The sequence below is a fragment of the Homo sapiens genome, chromosome 13 (assembly GCF_000001405.40).
Source record: "Homo sapiens chromosome 13, GRCh38.p14 Primary Assembly".
NCBI lineage: Eukaryota > Metazoa > Chordata > Mammalia > Primates > Hominidae > Homo > Homo sapiens.
Window position 1 is genome coordinate 80469833 of NC_000013.11, and position 21379 is coordinate 80491211.

The window sequence follows — 21379 nt, forward strand, 5'->3', positions numbered from 1 at the left end:
GCTTTGTATAAATCTCTTGAATTTAAAAATTTGCCTTTCAGATGCCTGGTGTCCTAGGATGTGTATATTGAATCACCAGAAATAATTCAGTGACATATTATGCTAGCTTATTTCATACATATTTCCAACTTATGACTCATTGGTTTGAAGAGGACAAATGTGAACTAAGAGAAAACAGAGGACTTGATGTACTTGTGCCTGAGAGGATGAATCACTGTGCTGCTGGCGAAGGATCCTGGGTCAGAGTTGTCTGTCTCATGGGTTTGAATGACCCTCAGTGTTCTCTGTCCTGGCCCCACTCATGAACTCACATGCAACCTCACACAAACACACATCCAAAACACCACTCGCTTCTTACTTTGGAAGCCCCACAAAACTATTTCAGGCTGGAAGGCATGCATATAATAAAGAAAGTGGTTGTCTTGGAGGCTACAACTTGATAAAGGAACACGTCAGAGAGACCCAAAATGTTCACAGTGGCATTTTCATTCTCAGTGTTCAAGGAGTTGTATTTTCCACTCTCTCTCCACCATCTGTTTTTCTTACTATAGCAAATGTCATTTCCTATGGCGTTTAGCAGAATATGAAATGGGATTGTTTTCTAGTGAATTTTGATGCAGTTTTATGATTTTCCTTAGAGCCTGCCTGCCTGCTTTCTTTCTCTCCTTCCTTCCTTCCTTCTTTCCTTCCTTCCTTCTGTCCGTCCGTCCATCCATCTTTCCTTCCTCCCTTCCTTCCTTCTTTCCATCCTTCCTTTCATTTTACTAAAAAAAGTAGAAGTAGCTTTAACAGTACATTGATCAGACCAACTTTAAAATAACTCCTGTAGATTTGCCTCTAAACCTGGTTTGAAATTTGTGATAAGACAAAGTTCTTAAATATGTTAATTTTTAATCTGTTTATAACAAGCACAAATTCCCAAAGCGGTGTAAAGCTGTTAAGCAGTAAATTCCCATTAAAGTGACAAGCTAAGGATTTAACTTAATTGAAGGGGGAATGTGTATGTGGTTTTGTGTATGGAGGTAGAGAGGTGTGTGCCTGTGTGTCTGTAAAAGTAGTAAAGGAGGATACAAGGTAGAGGAAAGAGCAAAAGAGGAGAATTCAGGAAACAATAACAGCATGTACTTACATAGCATTTTCTATGTGTCAGACATTGTATGAACTCTACATTTTTAATTTAATTCTCAACATAGCCACACATTGGAGGTATTGTTGCTTTCTCCATTTTACATATGAGAAATGTAAAGGTTAAATCCTACAAAAGCTAAGGTCACACAGCTATTAAGTGACAGAGGTAAATGGTTCACATCCTAAGCATTATATTATGCTGTTTTCTCTCAACTACGACTCAAGCATACATTTGTAGCATAATGAAAGAGAGGATCCTTTGTGAAACATTAGCACCAGATTTATTGTCTCTTTGGGCAGAGAAAAGCCAAAGGGTTTTGGAAATCTTTCACCAATAGCAAGACTGTGGTCTACCGGAGAAGGTGGCTGTGTAGCTTAAGGGAATATGGCAAAGAGAAGCCAAGAGAGAACTCAGAATGTCTGGAGTATGAGATGTAATCACTGGGGCAGTATTGATGGTGGACTCTGCCCATGAGGCGCAACGCTGTGATGTCTGTTCTGGAAATATGTCACCACTTCAACTCTTCTCTTTCCATGACTGATTAGATGATGATTTACTCTCACAGAAAGAATGGAGATTAGGATGGGAAGAAAAGGCTCCCTCTGTTGAGGATGGCTCAACTCTGTGAAGCTGCTAGAGAGGTGCCACAGGAAGATGAGAGTTGAAATTAACCTTAGGGAAGGCAGAGATAGAAATAAATTGATTCATATTTTAGAGATATGTTTTTAGGGTCAACTATTCTGCTTTTCTCCAACTTAAAAAAGAAAAACTCTTATTACAATAGGTTTCCTCTTCCTAACAAGGGCTTCAGTACTTAAATAGGGTTCAATGATGGAGTTAATTTCTTGGATTTAGGATCCCACTGCTCTCCATTCCTTCTTTCCTATTTATTCATAAAATCTAATTTTGGTTCCAGACTCCATGTATGTCACTTTCATTAAACAGGAAATAATATTAAATTTTGCAGCCACCACAGGAGTAGCAGTTTTGGGAATTCTCATTCACTCTGAGTTTATAAGAAGGCTCAGAAAAATTGACAAGTATGTTCTTCAAATTGTCATTAGGGTAAATTTGTTGAGCTTTACACAATTTTGGGTAGGATTTTAACCTTCAGAGTTTTTTGGCACACAAATGTATTGACTTGGCAACCATTGTGTGTTCCATACAGGCAAAACCTTGTTGGCATTTGGAGTATCTGGGAGAGGAAAAGAAAGATAATCTTTTCTTCTCTTGGCTTCAGATCCAATATAGACAGAAAAAAAATCAGACAAAATATTATTTCTTGGCCGGGCGCAGTGGCTCACACCTGTAATCCCAGCACTTTGAGAGAAGGAGGCAGGTGGATCATGAGGTCAGGAGATCGAGACCATCCTGGCCAACATGGTGAAACCCTGTCTCTACTAAAAATACAAAAATTAGCTGGGTGTGGTGGCACGCGACTGTAGTCCTAGCTACTTGGGAGGCTGAGGCAGGAGAATCACTTGAACCTGGGAGGTGGAGCTTGCAGTGAGCCAAGATCGCGGCACTACACTCCAGCCTGGGTGACAGAGTGAGACTCCGTCTCAAAAGAAAAGAAAAAAAATTTTTTTTTAATTTGTCGTGTGCTTTAAAGATACTCCTAGTTTATTCTTCCAAACTAGAAGATAATGCAGTCATAAAATTGAATACTTGTTACCTTATGATACAAGAGCATTGAGAATGGCTACAGAAATATACAAGTGTTGCATTCCCAAATGGAATCGAGCAGACAAAAAAACAGCAATTCAGGAAACAAACAAGAACCGCACTCCTGCCACCAATTCCAGTAGATTGAACACATTCTATATGGATGTTGTATAGTAGTCATATATTTTTTATTCAAACTAGATTAACCAAAATAAGAGAGTTCATCTTTTAGTTTGGAAAAGATGCTGGGAGTAGGTCACATGATTTAAAGAAAAGTTTCAGGTATTAGGACCTTACCAGCTGGTTCTAAAATTCAATACTGTCAAATTTCTTCTCTCCTCATCCTTGCGTTTTCCTCTCCTCTCCTTCCAACCTCTCTCTTTCTGCTATCTGTTCGAATTTATATACTTTCCCCCCTGGCAGGGACTTCTCATATTCTCCTAAATTAGCAAACCTACTAGAAACAGAACTTTTCTTCCAAATGTAATATAACCATTTCAGGCAAGGTCTTTTATTGGCTTGATCGAGTGACATGTCCAACCCTGGACTAAGCAAAATGGAATTCCAGTTAGTTGGAGTTTCAGGACTTATTACAAGACTAATAGACACTGCTTATAATAAGCTTATAGTTTATTAAAAAGATAAAATATTACACGTGGAATAAACAGCACTCATTATTTGGCAACGCTTATTTTATCAGGTTTTATAAAATTGACAGACTTTTCTATTATATAAAAATTGAATTACATGTATGGAAGACTTACAGAAGTGCTGAATTTATCTTCCACAAGATAAAAGCCTTCTTTGGACCCCCAGAGTTGAGCAGGTTTAAGCTTTTATCATGAAAATGAACTCAATAAAAGCACTGAAGCTATATATTTAATAATGTTGTATTTGAAACAAGGGGCACATTGGATTGTTTTTACTTTCCCTGTATTTTCTAGACAGTGTAATTAAGAGTTGTTATTGTGCCCACTTTAAAGATTGTTCAGTTGAATTATTAATCTCCATCAATACTCTGCATGGGAAACCAAGTAGAAATTATGATCTTCTTAAAATAAAAGCATGCTTTAAAGAAAAGCATATAAACCCTATAACACCACAAAGACCAGGAATTTTTTGTAAGGTATTATTTCAGCTCTCCAAATGGTGCAGAGATTAAAGACAGGCCCAAATTAACATCTGCTACAGGGTACTGGACTCCAGGTAGTGGAACAGATGGAGAGAATCCAGCTCATGGATCACTGCAGGCAGGAGTGAGTGACTGAGCAAAAACAAATAAACCCATGAATCACAGCCCTGGAGGACAGAACTACAGTATTTACACAAAGTTTCATCATGGAACTTGGGCTAGTATTTGAGTTGTATATACTTAAAAACACTTAGGATAGCTGCTTCAGAAGCTTCAATTATCCTTTTGAGTTCCATTTATTTATTTACGTATTGACAATTCTATGGTATATATGTACAAAGTTATTAACCATGCACTACTGTATAAATGTAGAACTCCTGAAAATAATTTAAAATTTGCCTAGTCTTTAACCTGATTCATTAACCTCATTCAATCAGACATAGATATATTATGGTATCTATATACAATAAAATCTGTATATAGTTCTCTTTACTGGCCCTGCACACGAGCCCTTGTCAGAGACCAGTATTTCTCTGACAAAAAGAGTTATCTAAATCTTTTTTCCTCCAAGTTTTGTCCATGTACCACCAGCAACAACATCACAGCAGAATCTCAGGCTCCATCACAAACCCACTGAAATTAAAACTGGTGTTTGACAAGACCTACTGGTGATTCCAAGTGTCTCTAGGATTTGTGTAAGCAAACAGTAATGGAGAAGGTCATTTTAGAAGGGAGGCTTGCCGGGCATGGGGGTTCATGACTGTAATCCCAGCACCTTGGGATGCCGAGGCGGGTGGATTGCCTGAGCTCAGGAGTTTGAGACCAGCCTGGGCAACGCAGTGAAACCCCATCTCTACTCGGGAGTCTGACACAGGAGAATTGCTTGAACCCGGGAGGCGGAGGTTGCAGTGAGCTGAGATCGTGCCATTACACTTCAGCCTGGGCAACAGAGTGAGACTCTATCTCAAAAAAAAAAAAAAAAGGCTCAGAGGCAGCAAGAGATATAGAATTTAAAGGTCCCCAGTGATCTGGATGTCGCTGAAGTTTTTAAACTGGGGAATAATGTAAACCAAGTGTTGAGAAAGAAGAGCAATGTGATTCCACCATTTAGGTGGGTGTGGAGAGAGAAGGCGGAAGCACTAAGAACACATGGGGGCACAATACTGAAGCAAAGGCATTATTGGTCTGGTGTGGGCTTTTGGCAATAGGGATGGTAAGGGAGAGACTGTGAAACATTCTGAATTAATTTATTTGATGAATTAGTTAAGTGACTTCTTGGGATGAGTTAACATGACCCCAGGAAAATGAAATCGGTAGGGAGGAGGCACAAAGTTTAATGCAGAGAATATAAGAGCAGTGGTAAATTATAGAGAAAGAATGAAGCCCAGCTCTCAATTTCTCAGGTTTGCACTCTACTCAATTAAACTTATGGTAGTCCCTTTGCCTGACACCTTCATAGCTAAAATATATTTTTTAAAATGAAGGTGGTGGTGGTGGTGGACATCTATATAGCTTCTAAAACATTGACTTTACCCTGCCTAACAGGAGTTTTGACTTTTACTCCTGTGTTACAAAGGACAACTTAGATATCTATTTTCTGAATATTAGAAACATTTAACGAATACTGTCTATATTACAGTGCAACTTTTTCAATATTTAAAAATATTCTGGAATATTTAAGTACTTTAGGGCTGTTATCTTCAAATTACAATATAATTTTAAAATTTTTCATGTTTGATAATTACTGTTTTTTTCTTCACATTTTTTCATGAAAGCCATCAAAAATATACCTCAAATGAATTTCATGATTACAGTGAATCCAAGAGATTAAGAACACTGGATAGTGAAACCACAGACCTCATTTACATTTTCTTAATATAAAATGAAAAATAAAGCATATATTGTTCTTACACCATTTGGTTCAAAGAAGCCAAATAAAAAAGCAACGAAAACAACATACTCCTGACAAAGTGCTCCAATAAACTAATGTTTTTTGACTGAGACTGATGTTTTTGACATTTGTTATTAAATGGAGTTGTTGCACTCTGCAATGCACATGGCAAATTCTAAATACAAGAGCAAAATCCAAACCGAGTAACTCCTCCTTTCACAGTACATCCCGTCATCTTGCTCCTTCCTAGACTGTTCCCATTCACTCAAAATAAGCTTGAGATCCTGCCTTGTGGGGATAACTGCAAACTGCAGTCAGATGTAGGAGCTGCTTAATCAGGTCTCAGAACCAGGCCTTAATTAGAATGCTTGGAAAAGAAGAGCAAATGAAAATTATTAAGCTGCACTGTTTATTCCTGTTTCTAATTTTAAAGAGGAAATCATGCATTAATTAAGCCATGGGTTAATGCTTTGAGGCACATTTTTGAGATACCCTAAAATAACAAGGAGAAATTTTTTTTGTTCTGTTTTGATAAACCCACTCTTGACTACTTGCTATATATGGTATGATATACTTCAACATAGAGTGTAACAGGGCACGCTATACTAAGTCTTGGTTGAATTTTAAAAGAATTACTAGACTTAAGGTGCGGCATGATAATCAAAGTGAGGCAGGTATTCCCTAAAAGTAAAACGGAAATGTGTAAAACCCATTTTCAGAGGTGAATGGAAGGTAAATTAGATGGTTTAAGAGAAGAGCACAATTCTACAAAGAGCTACATGGGCAGATAATTTCTAATGAGCAGAAAATGGCTTTTACAACATATTTTGGTGTTACAGATTTGAATCTGTTGATGATACCATACTTTGTGATAATCAGACTTAAGAAAAATAGAGTGATTGTTTTAAGTGAGAGCAGAAATATTATTTCTATTTTCTACAAAGCAATGACATAGGGATTATGTCTTCTTTAAAAAAGTTTTTAGCAATTCTTTCTCTAATTTTTTTACCCTGATCCAAATTACGAAAATGAAGAACATGCATAGAAATACTCCTTGTAAATTTATCTCCTTACATGACTCTAAAGTAATAATTTAAATTCTTGTTCTTTCTAGCTCCACTGATTTAGATTCTCACTGAGAATGATGAATCCTGGATGCTTCTTTGAAGCATTACAGGTTGTATGAGCATATTCTTTAAGTGTTACATCAGTGCTCAAAAAACTTCAGATTTGGGAGCATTTTGGATTTCAGATTTTCAGATCTAAGATGCTAAACCTGTATTTACTCACCACACAGAGACTGTCGTTCTGCATCTCCACTATTCTCTCAATATCCAAAGGTCATAGAGAGTTGCTTAGCTTATGTGGTCTACTTTCATTTTGAATGTCTTTATGATAAAAATGATCTATCTTTAAAGCAAAATTTTATTATTAGGTCTTTTGCAGTCTAAAAGCTGTGTGAGGAGAGAGACTGAATCCAGTGTGTGTGTGTGTGTGTGTGCACGTGTGTGCATGCACATGCACGTGCTTCTTATTTACTATAGAATTTTAAACACAGTAAGCATGCAGAAGCTATTTGCCATGTAACAGAAACTACAGGTGGGGCATTGGGCATCATTTAGATTAGGGAAACATGCTTTGGGATTCAGAGATACAATTCATTAAGAAGATGGAAAAGTATTAAGAAAATTATGAAGGTAAAGCTCTTTAGGAGACATTTTAATAGGCAGAGTTTCAAACAGTTGCATTAAGTAGGAAAACTCACATTCTTTCCTTGAATCATTCTCTTTCTTAAGATCAGACCATTATATTAACAGGTTTTTGGGTTTTTTTTTTTCCTCCCTGTTTTTCTAGCACTTTATTTCAGGCACTTCCCTCCTTCTGACATTTTTCTGAGTTCCTTACACTCTGGAGTCAAAGATCCCACAGTTTTCCACCAGCCAATTCTGACCTCTTGTTCTTCCCAACCACCACTATCATAAAACCAACAACAACAAACAAACAAAACAAAACAGTTCTCCATGTATAGCCCTTTGGGGCTCTATGACGAAGACCCTGTTTTATCAAAGACTGTTTTCCAGAGCTTGCACTCATCTTTGACACATAGTGTCATCATCTCCCCCTTTTATTTTTTTGCATGCTTTTGTTCCTTTAGCTCACTGGTAATAATGTTTGCTGAAAGGAAGGGCAGAACAAGCTGCAACAGGACTTATGACACCATATCATGGAAAGATAGCCTCCCGGTAAATCTAGGCCTCCCGGTAAAGATTAGCAGTATAATGAATAACAAGTTATAAACAGACCCTGAGGTTAAAGGATAGCAGCATGCTCTTGGCCCCCACCTTATATAGCAGACATTTTTTCCACAGACGTTGGGCCAGAGACATCAGGGCACCCATAGGGACTCATTCAAACATTCTCATTGTGCTTTTCATACTGTTTACTAGCCTGGACTGCAGATCCGAAAAACAGCCAGCCTTCACATTGTTGTTCTCTATTTTCATCTTGGGCAAAAAGTGAGAAACACTTGTTTGGAAAATTAGGTATTTTTAGTCATAGTGCAATGAGTGTTAGGTGTTTGTGGTTATCATGTTTAGTATGTGGAGGCTGACAGGAACAAACATGTTCAGATTGAGGTCCAGAGGTGTGAAAAGACATTAACAAGAATAAGGCTATAAAAATACATGTCTCTTCTTACAAAGCAAAACACTGCATGTGTTTCTTCAAAGAACTGAAAGGTCCTTATACATGAGGATGAGGTTTGCACCATTATTAATTCAAGATGCTCTTTCACAGGGAAATGGCTCTGAAACTAGGTGTCGTATATATATATATATATATATATACACATATGTGTGTGTGTGTATATATACACATATATATACACATACATATGTATGTATATATACATATATACACGTATATATGCATACATATATATGTATATATACATATATACACGTATATATGCATACATATATATGTATATATACATATATACACATATATATGCATACATATATATGTATGTATGCATATATACACGTATATATACATATATACACATATATGTGTATATATACACGTATATACACGTATATATACGTGTATATATACATATATATATAGGCTAATGAGTTATTTACATTTAACACAACCATTTATTATCCTCCCATTATGTGCCAGGCATTTTGCTCAAGGTCAGGGATAAAAAGAGCAGGACTTTTGCCTGAGGGGAACTTGGAAGCTTGGTTGAACAACAGGGTTATAAGTAAATATCATGTAACATCCTGATTTTAGTGCTGTAGTAGAAATTATTCTAATTAGTATCTAATGGGCATAGAGGAACATCCGTACTGCCAAGGATTGGTGGGAATTGAGAGTGAAAAAGAACGATTAAGAGAGAAGGGATTTTGAACAACTTGGAGCAGAACGTTGACGAGGATTCATAGATACCACGCAAGGGGAACAACAAGTAATTTGTGTATTTTTAGCAATGGTTCTCAAAGTGCAGTTCCTAGACTAGCAGCACCAGCATCACCTAAAGCTAGTTAGGAATGCAAACCTGCTCCACCCCAGACCTGCAAAATCAGAAACTCTGGAGGTGGGGCCCGGCAGCCAGGGGTTTATACACCCTCCAGGTGATTGTGGTGCATGCTACAGTTTGGAAACCACTAGCTTTAGGGCGTGGGCTCTCAAACTTGACTTCGTGTCAGAATCACCTGGGAGTTTAAAAATATGATGCCCGTACCCCATCTCAGAGGATCTGATTCAACTGGTCTGAGGAAACTGAGATTCTGAGAAGAGAGTAATTTCTCTAAGGTCACATAGTTAATAGGTAGGAATTAATGCCCGGGCCTGTCACCAAAGCCCCAGTTTGTTCATTTTGTTGCATAGACCTCTCAATCTGTGTGAGGGCAGAGATAGAACAGCCTTTCCCGTGGATGCCTGGGCTCATTATAAAAGGCCTTTCATTGTTTATTTCTGTTCTGTGAAAGAATAGAGTCTTTGTGCTGGGCGCCGAGGCTCACACCTGTAATCCCAGCACTTTGGGAGGCCGAGGTTGGGGGATCACCTGAGGTCAGGAGTTCGAGACCAGCCTGGCCAAGATGGTGAAACCCCATATCTACTAAAAATACAAAAATTAGTTGGGCATAGTGTCTCACACCTATCCCAGCTACTCAGGAGGCTGAGGCAGGAGAATCACTTGAAATCAGGAGGCGGAGGTTGCAGTGAGCCAAGATTGTGTCATTGCACTCTAGCCTGGGTGACAGAGGGAAACTCTGTCTCAATTAAAAAAAAATAATTATAAAGAGTCTTTGAACAGTAATGGTACTTGAAGATGTGGCTTCGTAAGTTGAGAACAAGGTATAAATATACCTTAGCTATATTTGTGTTATGTTACTTTTAAAAAATGCTAGCGAATTTGTTTGCATACCTATAAACTCTCTAGACTTACTACAATATACCCCCACTTTCAGTAAATCCGATATACAGAAATTTTATTTAGAACCAAAAAATAAAATCGCCCTCAAGCAGACAATATTTTTACTTTACAAAAGCATTCACATGGGTTTCCAGGCCCTCAAGTTCAGTGTTTACTCAGCTATTATGTGGGTAAGGGCTACTGGTGGCCTTTGAGCTTTTTATAGTAGACTTTATGTGTTAGAGAAGTTTTAGGTTCACAGCAAAATTGAGCAAAAGGTACAGAGATATCCCATATCCTCTCTGCACCCACACATGCACAGCCTCCCCCATTATCAGCATCCCCACCAGAGTGGTACACTTGGTACAATTGATGAACATGCATTGACACATCATCATCACCCACAGTCCATAGTTTACATTAACGGCTCACTTATAGGTGCTGTACATCCTGTGAATTTTGACAAATGTATAATGACATGTTTCTACCATTAGAGTATCATAGAGAATAGTTTTACTGCCCTAAAAATCTTCTGTGCTCCAACTATTCATCCCTCCACTGATCATCTTTTTATCATCTGCATAGCCTAGCCTTTTCCAGACTATCATACATTTGGAATCATACAGTAGGTAGCCTTTTCAGACTGGCTTCTTTCACTTATTAATATGTGTTTAAGTTTTCTCCATGTCTTCTTATGGCTTCATAGCTAATTTCTTTTTAGTGCTGAATAATGTTCCATTGTCTGGATGTACCACAGTTTATCCACTTACCCGCTGAAGGACATCTTTGTTGCTCCCAAGTTTTAGCAAACATGAATTGAGCTGCTGTAAACATCTGTGTGCAAGTTTTTGTGTACATGGACATAAGTTTTCAACTCCTTTGGGTAAACAGTAAGGACTTCAATGGCTGAATTGTATGGTAAGTGTGGGTTTAGTTTTGTATGCCCTTGAGATTTTTATTGGTATGCAAATGATATTCAAATGATTTGTAGTTAAACATGATTTAATGGCTCTTCTAAGCAAAGATACCTGATCTCTCTGCTAAATGCTCTGCATGGATTATATCATTTAATCTGTGCAACCAGATATGAGATACATAATACTACTTTTACAGAGGCTTAGGAAGATCAAATAGCTTTCATTAACTGTATAAGCTTGGATGTAGTCAATCCAGGATTTAATTCAGACCAACTGAAAACAGAGCCCATCTTTAAACTGTTTTGAACTCCATGTCACTCTAGGTGTCTGTGTTTCATAGTCCCTTCTTAGCAAAGTAGCCACTAATGGTTCTTATTTACTGCCCGCAGCAGCTAGCTGGACACCTGGGAATTTGGTGATCTTGGAGGTGGCCTGGATCTAGAACTCTGCCTTTTAGGAAGTTTCTCTAATGAGTTCTGCCTAATTGAGTATTTTCTTTCAAAGAATTTTGAAATATATTAATCAGATAGTATATTGCTTAGCAACTTGAAGAGACGTGAAGAAGCAGAAATCCATCTGACTGCTACAGAGAGAGGTGTTTTTTTCTGTGTGTGTGTCTGTTTTTTTTTTTTTTTTTTTTTTTTGGTTGTTGTTTACCTACTTCTGGGTGTTTTCTTAGAAAAACTCCCATCACTTAGGGAAAACTTGCTGTGTCTTTGTTTAGTGTCATCTCAAAGAGCCTGACTAATATAATCTCAGAAGAATCCAATGAGTTATGTATGTATGGGTGTGGAAACTTAAAAATTGAGCTTTGAACTTGTATATGAGTCAGAGACTATTTTGTCAATCTGGAGACATGAATATGTGCTCCACCCACCATCTTTTAATTACATGTATTGATACCTGAGATAGGGAAAAGGAAGATCTGAGTTCTTGACACAGTTCTGCTATTGGGCTGCAAAGGTCTCTTAGGGTATATTTATTTTTCACTTCTTCTGCTGATGCCTTGAGTGACCCTGACATTCAGCATCTAGTTCTCCACAGCACATTTGAGCAATTGTTAGAATCACCAGAATGACAGAAGAAGAATTTCATACCTAAGCAGACTTTGTTAGAAACATAATTTACACATATGTTTCTATCATGTACTTATTTGACTCTGATGATGATTCTTCGTATACTTAGGTAGAGGCAGATGTGTGATTTTTTTTTAGCTAGCATAAATCATTTTCTTTTGTATTGGGGGATTTCTAGTTCAAATCCAGGTAACAGCTCACCTATTATGCCTAGTGTGTAAACAGTTTCACCTCTCCTTTGCTCAAATACTTGGAATCATAATTATCTTCTTTAAAATTTGGCCATAGGCAAAATCTTTGTCGGATATATTCTCATTCAGCATGCCAAATCAGAATCGCAAACCACAAGGCAGAGTCTTTGCTAGATTACCATGTATTGCATGGAGGTATAATATAATTTCCAATTAACTCCTTTTGAAACATTGTTTCTTAGTGTGTTATTAACCTAACTATTCAAGTCATTAGATTTTTATTATAATGGTACTGAGAATAATTGTTGGGACATCTTCAGCTGTTTCCCACCCATGCAATTTCCTTTGACACTTCTGTGTTAAAGTACAGCTGAATCTTTTAGTTTATAATTATTAATATATGACCAAATATGAGCATTGTTTTCATAATTATTATATATCCACAGAAAATATTGTCCAAAATTATATAGCCCAAGCCCACATTAATGTAACATTTCTTTTCATTAAGATGATGTCACAGAGTCCAAAGAAGGTCAAAGAGATTCAAGAAAGGGCAATTTTAAAGAGTTCTTTAGACCATGTATGTTAGAAGGAACTCAGATAGTTTTGTTATTCTATAAACCTCAAGATAAAGCTGATAAGAATGTTTTGATCAAAATTCAATTGCTTCTCTGAATAATTTAGATTACTGTTAGATTAGAACTTCCATAGAAGAAGATACAAGTGTTTGCTTTTATTTGTGTTTTTGTTTTTAAAGATGGATCTAAGTCATGAAAGAGGGCTGGGTATGGCACAGGAGGCCTATGTTCATCGCTGTATCTCAGTTAAGCAAATAGCTCCCTGGCTACAAGCAGAAATGGATGCTCTTGTTATAATAATTTGCTTTAGCAAGAGATCTTACTCTGTTTTTGCCTTTCTTCTTGTTGTGGGTCATTTAAACATCTGTTCTTATGACACAGGAATTTTCCAGATGGATGTGTGTTTGTTGCTCTGTCAGAAAAATCTAATTTTATAAAGGAAGTAGCATGATGGCCAAAGTGTTCTTTGTTTCCCTCTACACCCTGATATTAATGAGAAAAATCCTTTGGCCATGTCTCCATTAAAGCTAACCAACATCCGTCTTCCCTGTTACATAACATGGTCTTGTTATGATCAGACCAGTTGTCTTTAGTCTTTCTCTGAACACTTGCCATTGTTCCCTCTGTGAGGGCTATACTTTTTTCCCTTTTAATATATTTAAAATCCATTAATTACAGGCCTAATACAAGACTTCTTTAGTCATCCTATAAAGAAATTTTACTGAGAGCAGTACATTTAGAGTAGAAAGAACAAAGACTTTGGAGCTAGGTGGTTCCAAGTTTGATTCGTGGATTCACTACTGACTAAATGAGAGCCATTGAACAAGTTACTTAATCTTTCTGAATGCCAGTTTTCTTGTCTGTAATATAGAAATAATGTCTTATCTCATAGAGTTTTTGTAAAAATTAGATGAGATAAAATTTACCTGGCACCCAAATTTCAGATACCTATGTTATGCCTATTTGTGATAATATTCCCTTAAGCAAAATAATTTATTTGTATCAAGTTTATTCATGCCCATAATTGAAATATCCACATTATTATACAAGGTTTGCTTGTTACATACACTAGTCATTCACCACCTCTGCCTGTTCTCCTACTGTGGGTAAACACTTTCAACTCTTTTAGCTATTTCTTTTTGTGTCTATTTCCAGATGCCTTAAATATATCTTATTTTGCAACTTGTTGCTCTTTTGGTTGTAGGTATTATATGTTGATATGGAAGATGAGAATGAAACTTGCCTTAATAGTGCCTCATTATTTTCAACACATACACACACCCTAATGCTCTCTCTCTCTTCCCAGGCTGCCTTTCTCTTATTATAGTCATATCATAATTTTAGTTAAATCAATATTTAGGATTCACATTATGACCATGTAAACACTAACTACAGGTGATAAGATTTCCTATATACTGTAATTGCTGTTCCTTCCAAGAGTGAGTTATTATTTTCTCTGGAGTTATCGAATATCTTGTTTACTTTTGGGGGTTTATTTTTATGTATTTTATGTATACTTGTTGCTAGTTGAAGCCCCAAATCTCCAACAAATGTTTAAGTGACATGTTAACATCATATTATAGAAGAAATCTCTCAGAGCTTTCTGACCTGCTTGAATCTAGGCAAATTGGCCCCTGCGTGGTACACAACTATTCTTCTCTGATCTCCACACCATGATCATCCTAAACATTTTCTTTACCATTTTCCCATGTCAATCCTCTCTTTCTATACCAGCATATATTATGGTAGAGCATACTTTCCAGTAAGTTTGTGGGTATGGGCTCATGCATGTAATAACCTTGTTGATATTTACATGTTTGATGAGTTTTGTATTTTATCCTCACAGCAATTAATAGTTCTGCTGCATCAAGAACTTTACATTAGGAATAATTTACCTTTAGGAAATGGATTTATTGCTAATCTATGATAACTGAAGCCAAGATGACAGAAATTAGTTGGTATAATGTAGAAGAAATATTCTAAAATTATTGAGAGGTAAGAATGTTGGAATAATTTCTTATATGTAACTGTTCATTTGTCTCAAGAAGGGCAGAAGACATTACCTTCATTCAGCTATTAGATATAAAATGATGAGAAAAGAACAAGAATATTTGAAAAGTACTGTAGAAGACATTCTCTTGGGATGCAGCTGGGATGTGCATGCCTGACATTATCATTGGATTAGGCTTCCTGATTTCAGTGGGAATGTTGAGATTCTGTAGAGGTAGAGACCAAACAGCATTTCTTAGATGCCAGGGGCAGGGTCAATATAGTTACTCTGTTAGCTAGTCAGGTCCACAGTGATCTTTAATGATAACTAAGTGAATGTAGAGTCCTTGGATCAAAAGAGGTGGTGAGGCCACCAAAATCCCTCCAATATCTATAAAATCATATACAACTCTAGGTGTGCTGAATAGTAGTATGATTTTCAGCCTTGAGCCATCTCACAGAGCCAAAACTCTCTAAATAAATAAGGAGAGGGGTACCCTTGAAAAAACATCCTGTATCAATATCACACACATTTATTTTGTAGTCTTCCACAAAAGGATTTGAAGAATGTGAAATATCCAGGCCTTTCGAGGGTTGTTACACATAGATTGAGCCCAAGATCAATCCCTAGGAAGCAAAAGGTCACTGCGGTTCACTGGTTGGGTGGATGTCAGAGAATAAATGAAATTCTATTGAAAGACCCTTTCATATTGAGTCCAAGAAGTCACTAATCCCATACTGTGATTATTTTCCATACCACAATCATTCCTGTGTGGACAATTTGATTAAATATATTTAGAAAGTGGTAGATTTCCCAATCTTTCCCTGACACATGCTGTTAAGACTACTATAGTGGGAAGAGCAATGTGCAGACCATGCTCCTTCATAAAATGATACATCAAAAGTGATGCCACATTTCTGGGACTCTTTCAGAAGTTGGAACCACCATCAAGAACCTAGAATGGTGATAGTTTCTTGGATCTCCCCATTCAACTTACTCAACTTACTTGTTTGGTTTGTGCAGAAGGCAGATAGGTAGGTCTTATGAAATATAATGAATTGTAGTAATTATAAGCATATCAGACTCCATTTCAGCTACTGTTTCATATGGTTTTCTTTAAGTGAGCAAATCAACACATATCGGGAAGTTGGTTTACTATGTAGCTGTCAGTGTAGTACTTTTTGGTCTCTATTCCAATAAGTAGAGATTACTATTTGTTATCACTTAGTAGAATAAATGATAAATGTAAGCCTTTAACTTTATCTTTGTTAGCCCTCTAGCTCTATGCCATAATTTAGTGTTTAGAGATTTCGAGCATCTCATAATCATTTAGGATATCATGCTGGTCTATTTTTATCATCTTATCCTTTAGGAAATAATGCCTGTATATTATTAATATATCAATTGTGTTGCTAAGACCATGTAAGCTGAATGTAGCGGTAATAGTAAAATAAATATGTTGGTAACATCTACATGTAAGAGGTAATGTAAGATATATCACATAAAATTCAAAGATCTATTTTCATAACATTTCTGAGAGTCCAGTGGTCCTGGGCTTGTTGAGATATTTCCTCCAAAATAATAGCCTACTAATTAGTCCTTTTTATCCTCTAATAATTATGAAGAAACACAATGGTTCGTGAACTTACTTGGATTAATATATACCACATGTGGACATGTGGCTCTGACATGTTTACTAAGTAAACTGCTTACACAACTGTTTACAAATTGTGAGACTAGAGCTAGGAAAGCATTCCAGCTGGAGTACAAGCAGTTCTTCCTTTGGTCCCTGTGAATCAACAGATCCAATGGAGCTTGTGATATCTTTGGCAGATTGGTGTGTTGTACGGAACATGTGGAAGCCCAGATAGGAGAGCTACGGTAGAGGCCACTAAGGTTTTATTGCAAAGTCATGTCTTCTCAACTGATCTAAGCTTGTTACTGGTTTGGGGTAGAGACTATGAGCAGGTGACTGCAGCCTGAGCTCCTACAATGTGCTGTTGTTATCTTCTAAGCATAAAGGCAAGTAGATTCAGCAGTCTTTCATCAGCAAATTGAAATGGTAATATAAAATCGAGATTTATCAGGTTCTGAAGGCACAAGAAAGATGCATGAGCAGGTAACTGATGTCAATACACGTGCTCTTATGATTGTACATCTGACCCTATAGAATGGCCTTAAGATCAAGTGCCTATAAACAGATGACCTAAAGGGGGGAAAATTTGAATCTATTTTAAAGATAATAGATAAGTTTCTACTATCAGATGAAAGACAACTGCTTTACTATAAACCCAACTAAGGGGTAGCATTAGAGGGAAAGGGAAAGTCTCTTAGTGAAAAAAACTACCAATTTATACCAATTCATAGATAGTGATTACTAGTTTAAATAGTAAGGGATTTGGAGACAGGAGGACTGGTAACAAATTGGTCTGGAGAAGATAAATGTGGATGGGTCTCTTAGAATGAGTCCAAAGTATGGGAACATTTGTGTTCTGGCAAAAACTCACCAGAAGACCCCTCTATGGAGAAGTTTTTAAATAATAATTTAGACAATATTACCCCATGAATGTCAATTTTTCTCACCTAATCCAGTACTTGTTTAATGGGCTCACAAATGAAGTGGTCAGAATAACAGATACGAACATCACGTATGGACTCAACAACATGGAATTCCCCTAACTGCAGCTGCTCTGATTCCTACTACAAATGCTAGCCCAGCTTGTTAGAATCAGTAACAAGATCAGCCCCTGCTATTTTATTTCCCAAAAACGCTAGGTTGTCTTTGGAAATTGATTACATTAAACCTCTTTCATCACAGGATGTGCAGTGATTTGTCTTCACCGGGATAGACTTTTGTTATATACCCTGGCCTTCCTCATGCGTTATGCTTCGAGCACAACTTTTATGATCTTATTGAAAGTCTTACATATTGTGATTTCAAACATAATACTATTTCTGACCAAGGAACCCATTTTATAGCAAAAGAAATAATGAGCCAACATTCAAAAAATTCCCTAGTATTAGGAAGTATTCCATCTCCCAGAAGTAGTGTGCTTTATGGAATAACCTGTAGTGACTGAGCAATTGAGAGATAACTAAGAATGTTCTGAAATCTTCCATAAATAGAACTGTGTCTCTTTAGACTGAACATATGGATCTGGAAACCAAGGGGCATAAATGGAGTTGGTACGTCTTACCTTTGCACCTAATAGTTCATTTTGTATCTCCAAAACTTAGGGTTTGGTTGGTTAAAACATTTTGATAGCAAAGAGGAACATTTCAAAAGGAGACATAAATATGGCACCACATAATCCAGTGTGCCTGCCACCTTTCCATTTTGAACTCTCATATCTCTGAGCAAATGGGCAACAAAAGAAGCAATCATGTTGGCCAGGGAGATGTATCCTGAGTGTCATAAAGACATAAGGTTGTTGCTACAGAGTGGAGGAAGGAAGGAGTGTGGAACAATGAGTTGCTACTAATGTTGTTTTCAGTGTATTAGATATACAAAAACCTAATACTGGCAGGACTTTCAAAGACTCAGACTTCTTATTTAAAATGACTTGGGTTATCCCCATCTTTTGAAGACCTTTGAATAGCCAAAGTACTGATAGATGGCAAAGGACAATAGTGGAAACAATATTCCACAAACAGATCATCAATACCAGCTATAGCCTGGTAACTAATTACATATATTTTTTTTGTCTTTTCTACTGTTCCCTTTCTATTTTATACAACATGTCATGGTGGTTAAATTATGATTTTGTTCATAGGTTAGCATGTGAAGACACTAATATGAGGGAACTAGGAGAAAAAAATGAACATTACTTAAAGATTCTGGATTTAGAACTAGATTCAGTAATATTTATACTTTGGACTTTCCACTCCTTGAAAATAAGATTCTTAATGCTTGAAGAATAACTGCACTATGTTACATGGGATATCTTATTGCTATTCTTGTTGCATCTAAAACACTTATGTGATGATATAGGGCTGTCTAGAAGGTAATGGATATCTATCATCATTTGCCTTTATTTGCTTAAACACTACATTATGCATCCCAACTCTTCCACATAGATGTCTGAATGCAAATTTTACTCTCAAATATCAGTCCTACTCATAGCTAAAAGTGTGACCATGGCTCTGATGATGAGGCACATATATATAAGATTTCATTCTAGGGGTAAGGCTGTGAAGAGGAGCTTTTATTTTGCTGTTGCAGATATTGGTGGAAATACCTGGCTTTGAGGGTGGCATTGGTTGAAAGACAGGTTTCATGAAGGTGCTGGCAGTAGATACAGTTGCCATAAAATTCAATTCATATTTAGTATTTGGTGGTAGCAATGGCAGCAGCAACAGTAGTAGCAACAACGTTTATCTCATCAGCCCAGTTCTGTGGTACAGTTTTAGGCATTTTCCTTGAAATTTAACCTTAATACTCTTTTTCCACTTATACCAAAATTTCTTGAGCTATCTAATATTCTTTCCTAAATTCTTTTCTTGCTTAAATTAACTACAGTGCATTCTATCATTTGCAACAAAGAACTCTGATCAAAATATGTTTACCTGTAAGAAATCTATTTCTGAAATCTCCACTAATTTATTCAATAAATATGTGTTGGCTATCTACTGTATGTAAGGTGACATCATTTGATCACAAAAAGGAATTAACATAAATTTCTTCTTGAGTAGGTTGGAAGTAATGGAAACCTAACTGAGCTAGGATGCTAGATTACTATTGCAGAACGAAAATAGCATGAGTATTATGGCAGGCCCAGGAATGAAATCAGCAATCCTAAGAATTAACTTAAAAGTAACAAGTTAAACAGTGTCCTGATCAGACCAGACAGTCAGAAAGATCACAGACATACAGTGTGAAATCTGAACATCAGATGCACATCAAGCCATGTCCTGGTGTGTCTGGAATTGGTGGGTTCTTGGTCTCACTGACTTCAAGAATGAAGCCGCGGACGCTCGCCGTGAGTGTTACAGTTCTTAAAGGCAGCGTGTCCGGAGTTTGCTCCTTCTGATGTTCAGATTTGTTCGGAGTTTCTTCCTTCTGGTGGGTTCGTGGTCTCGTTGGCTCAGGAGTGAAACTACAGACCTTCACGGTGAGTGTTACAGCTCTTAAGGTGGCGCATCTGGAGTTGTTAGTTCCTCCCGGTGGGCTCGTGATCTCACTGGCTTCAGGAGTGAAGCTGCAGACCTTCACAGTGAGTGTTACAACTCATAAAGGCAGTGTGGACCCAAAGAGTGAGTAGCAGCAAGATTTATTGCAAAGAGTGAAAGAACAAAGCTTCCACAGTGTGGAAGGGGACGGGAGCTGGTTGCCACTGCTGGCTCGGGCAGCCTGCCTTTATTCTCTTATCTGGCCCCACCCACATCCTGCTGATTGGTAGAGCCCAGTGGTCTGTTTTGACAGGGCGCTGATTGGTGCGTTTACAATCCCTGAGCTAGACACAAAGGTTCTCCCCTTCCCCACCAGATTAGCTAGATACAGAGTGTCAATTGGTGCATTCACAAACCCTGAGCTAGATACAGGGTGCTGATTGGTGTGTTTACAAACCTCGAGCTAGATACAGAGTGCCAGTGGTGTATTTACAATCCCTGGGCTAGACATAAAGGTTCTCCACCTCCCCACCAGACTCAGGAGCCCAGTTGGCTTCACCCGGTGGATCCCGCACTGGGGCTGCAGGTGGAGCTGTCTGCCAGTCCCCTGCCGTGTGCCCGCGCTCCTCAGCCCTTGGGTGGTCGATGGGACTGGGTGCCATGGAGCAGGGGGCGGCGCTCATCGGGGAGGCTCCGGGCCGGCCGCACAGGAGCCCACGGAGGGGGTGGGAGGCGCAAGCATGGCGGGCTGCAGGTCCTGAGCCCTGCCCCAGGGGAAGGCAGTTAAGGCCCGGTGAGAAATCGAGCGCAGCGCTGGTGGGCTGGCACTGCTGGGGGACCCACTACACCCTCCGCAGCCGCTGGCCTGGGTGCTAAGCCCGTCATTGCCCGGGGTCGGCAGGGCCCGCCGGCTGCTCCCAGTGCAGGGCCTGCCAAGCCCACGCCCACCGGAACTCCAGCTGGCCCGCAAGCGCCGCGCGCAGCCCGGGTTCCTGCTCGCGCCTCTCCCTCCACACCTCCCTGCAAGCTGGGGGAGCGGGCTCCGGCCTTGGCCAGCCCAGAAAGGGGCTCCCACAGTGCAGCCGTGGGCTGAAGGGCTCCTCAAGTGCCGCCAAAGTGGGAGCCCAGGCAGAGGAGGCCCCGAGAGCGAGCGAGGGCTGTGAGGACTGCCAGCACGCTGTCACCTCTCACTGGGACACCAGGTAGGGAAGACTGCAATCTGAAGCTCCAGCAGGCGACAAGGGTGCAGAACATCTGATTATACCCCCAGAAATT

The 21379-nt window shown here is 38.4% G+C and overlaps 1 annotated feature.

Annotated features, from left to right (window-relative positions):
• Positions 20520–21021: an enhancer, noted in NCBI's record as "H3K4me1 hESC enhancer chr13:81064487-81064988 (GRCh37/hg19 assembly coordinates)". NCBI's record gives its function as "activates a minimal SCP1, AML or CMV promoter by ChIP-STARR-seq in naive H9 embryonic stem cells {active_cell/tissue: H9 hESC(naive)}" and the evidence as "EXISTENCE:reporter gene assay evidence [ECO:0000049][PMID:30033119]".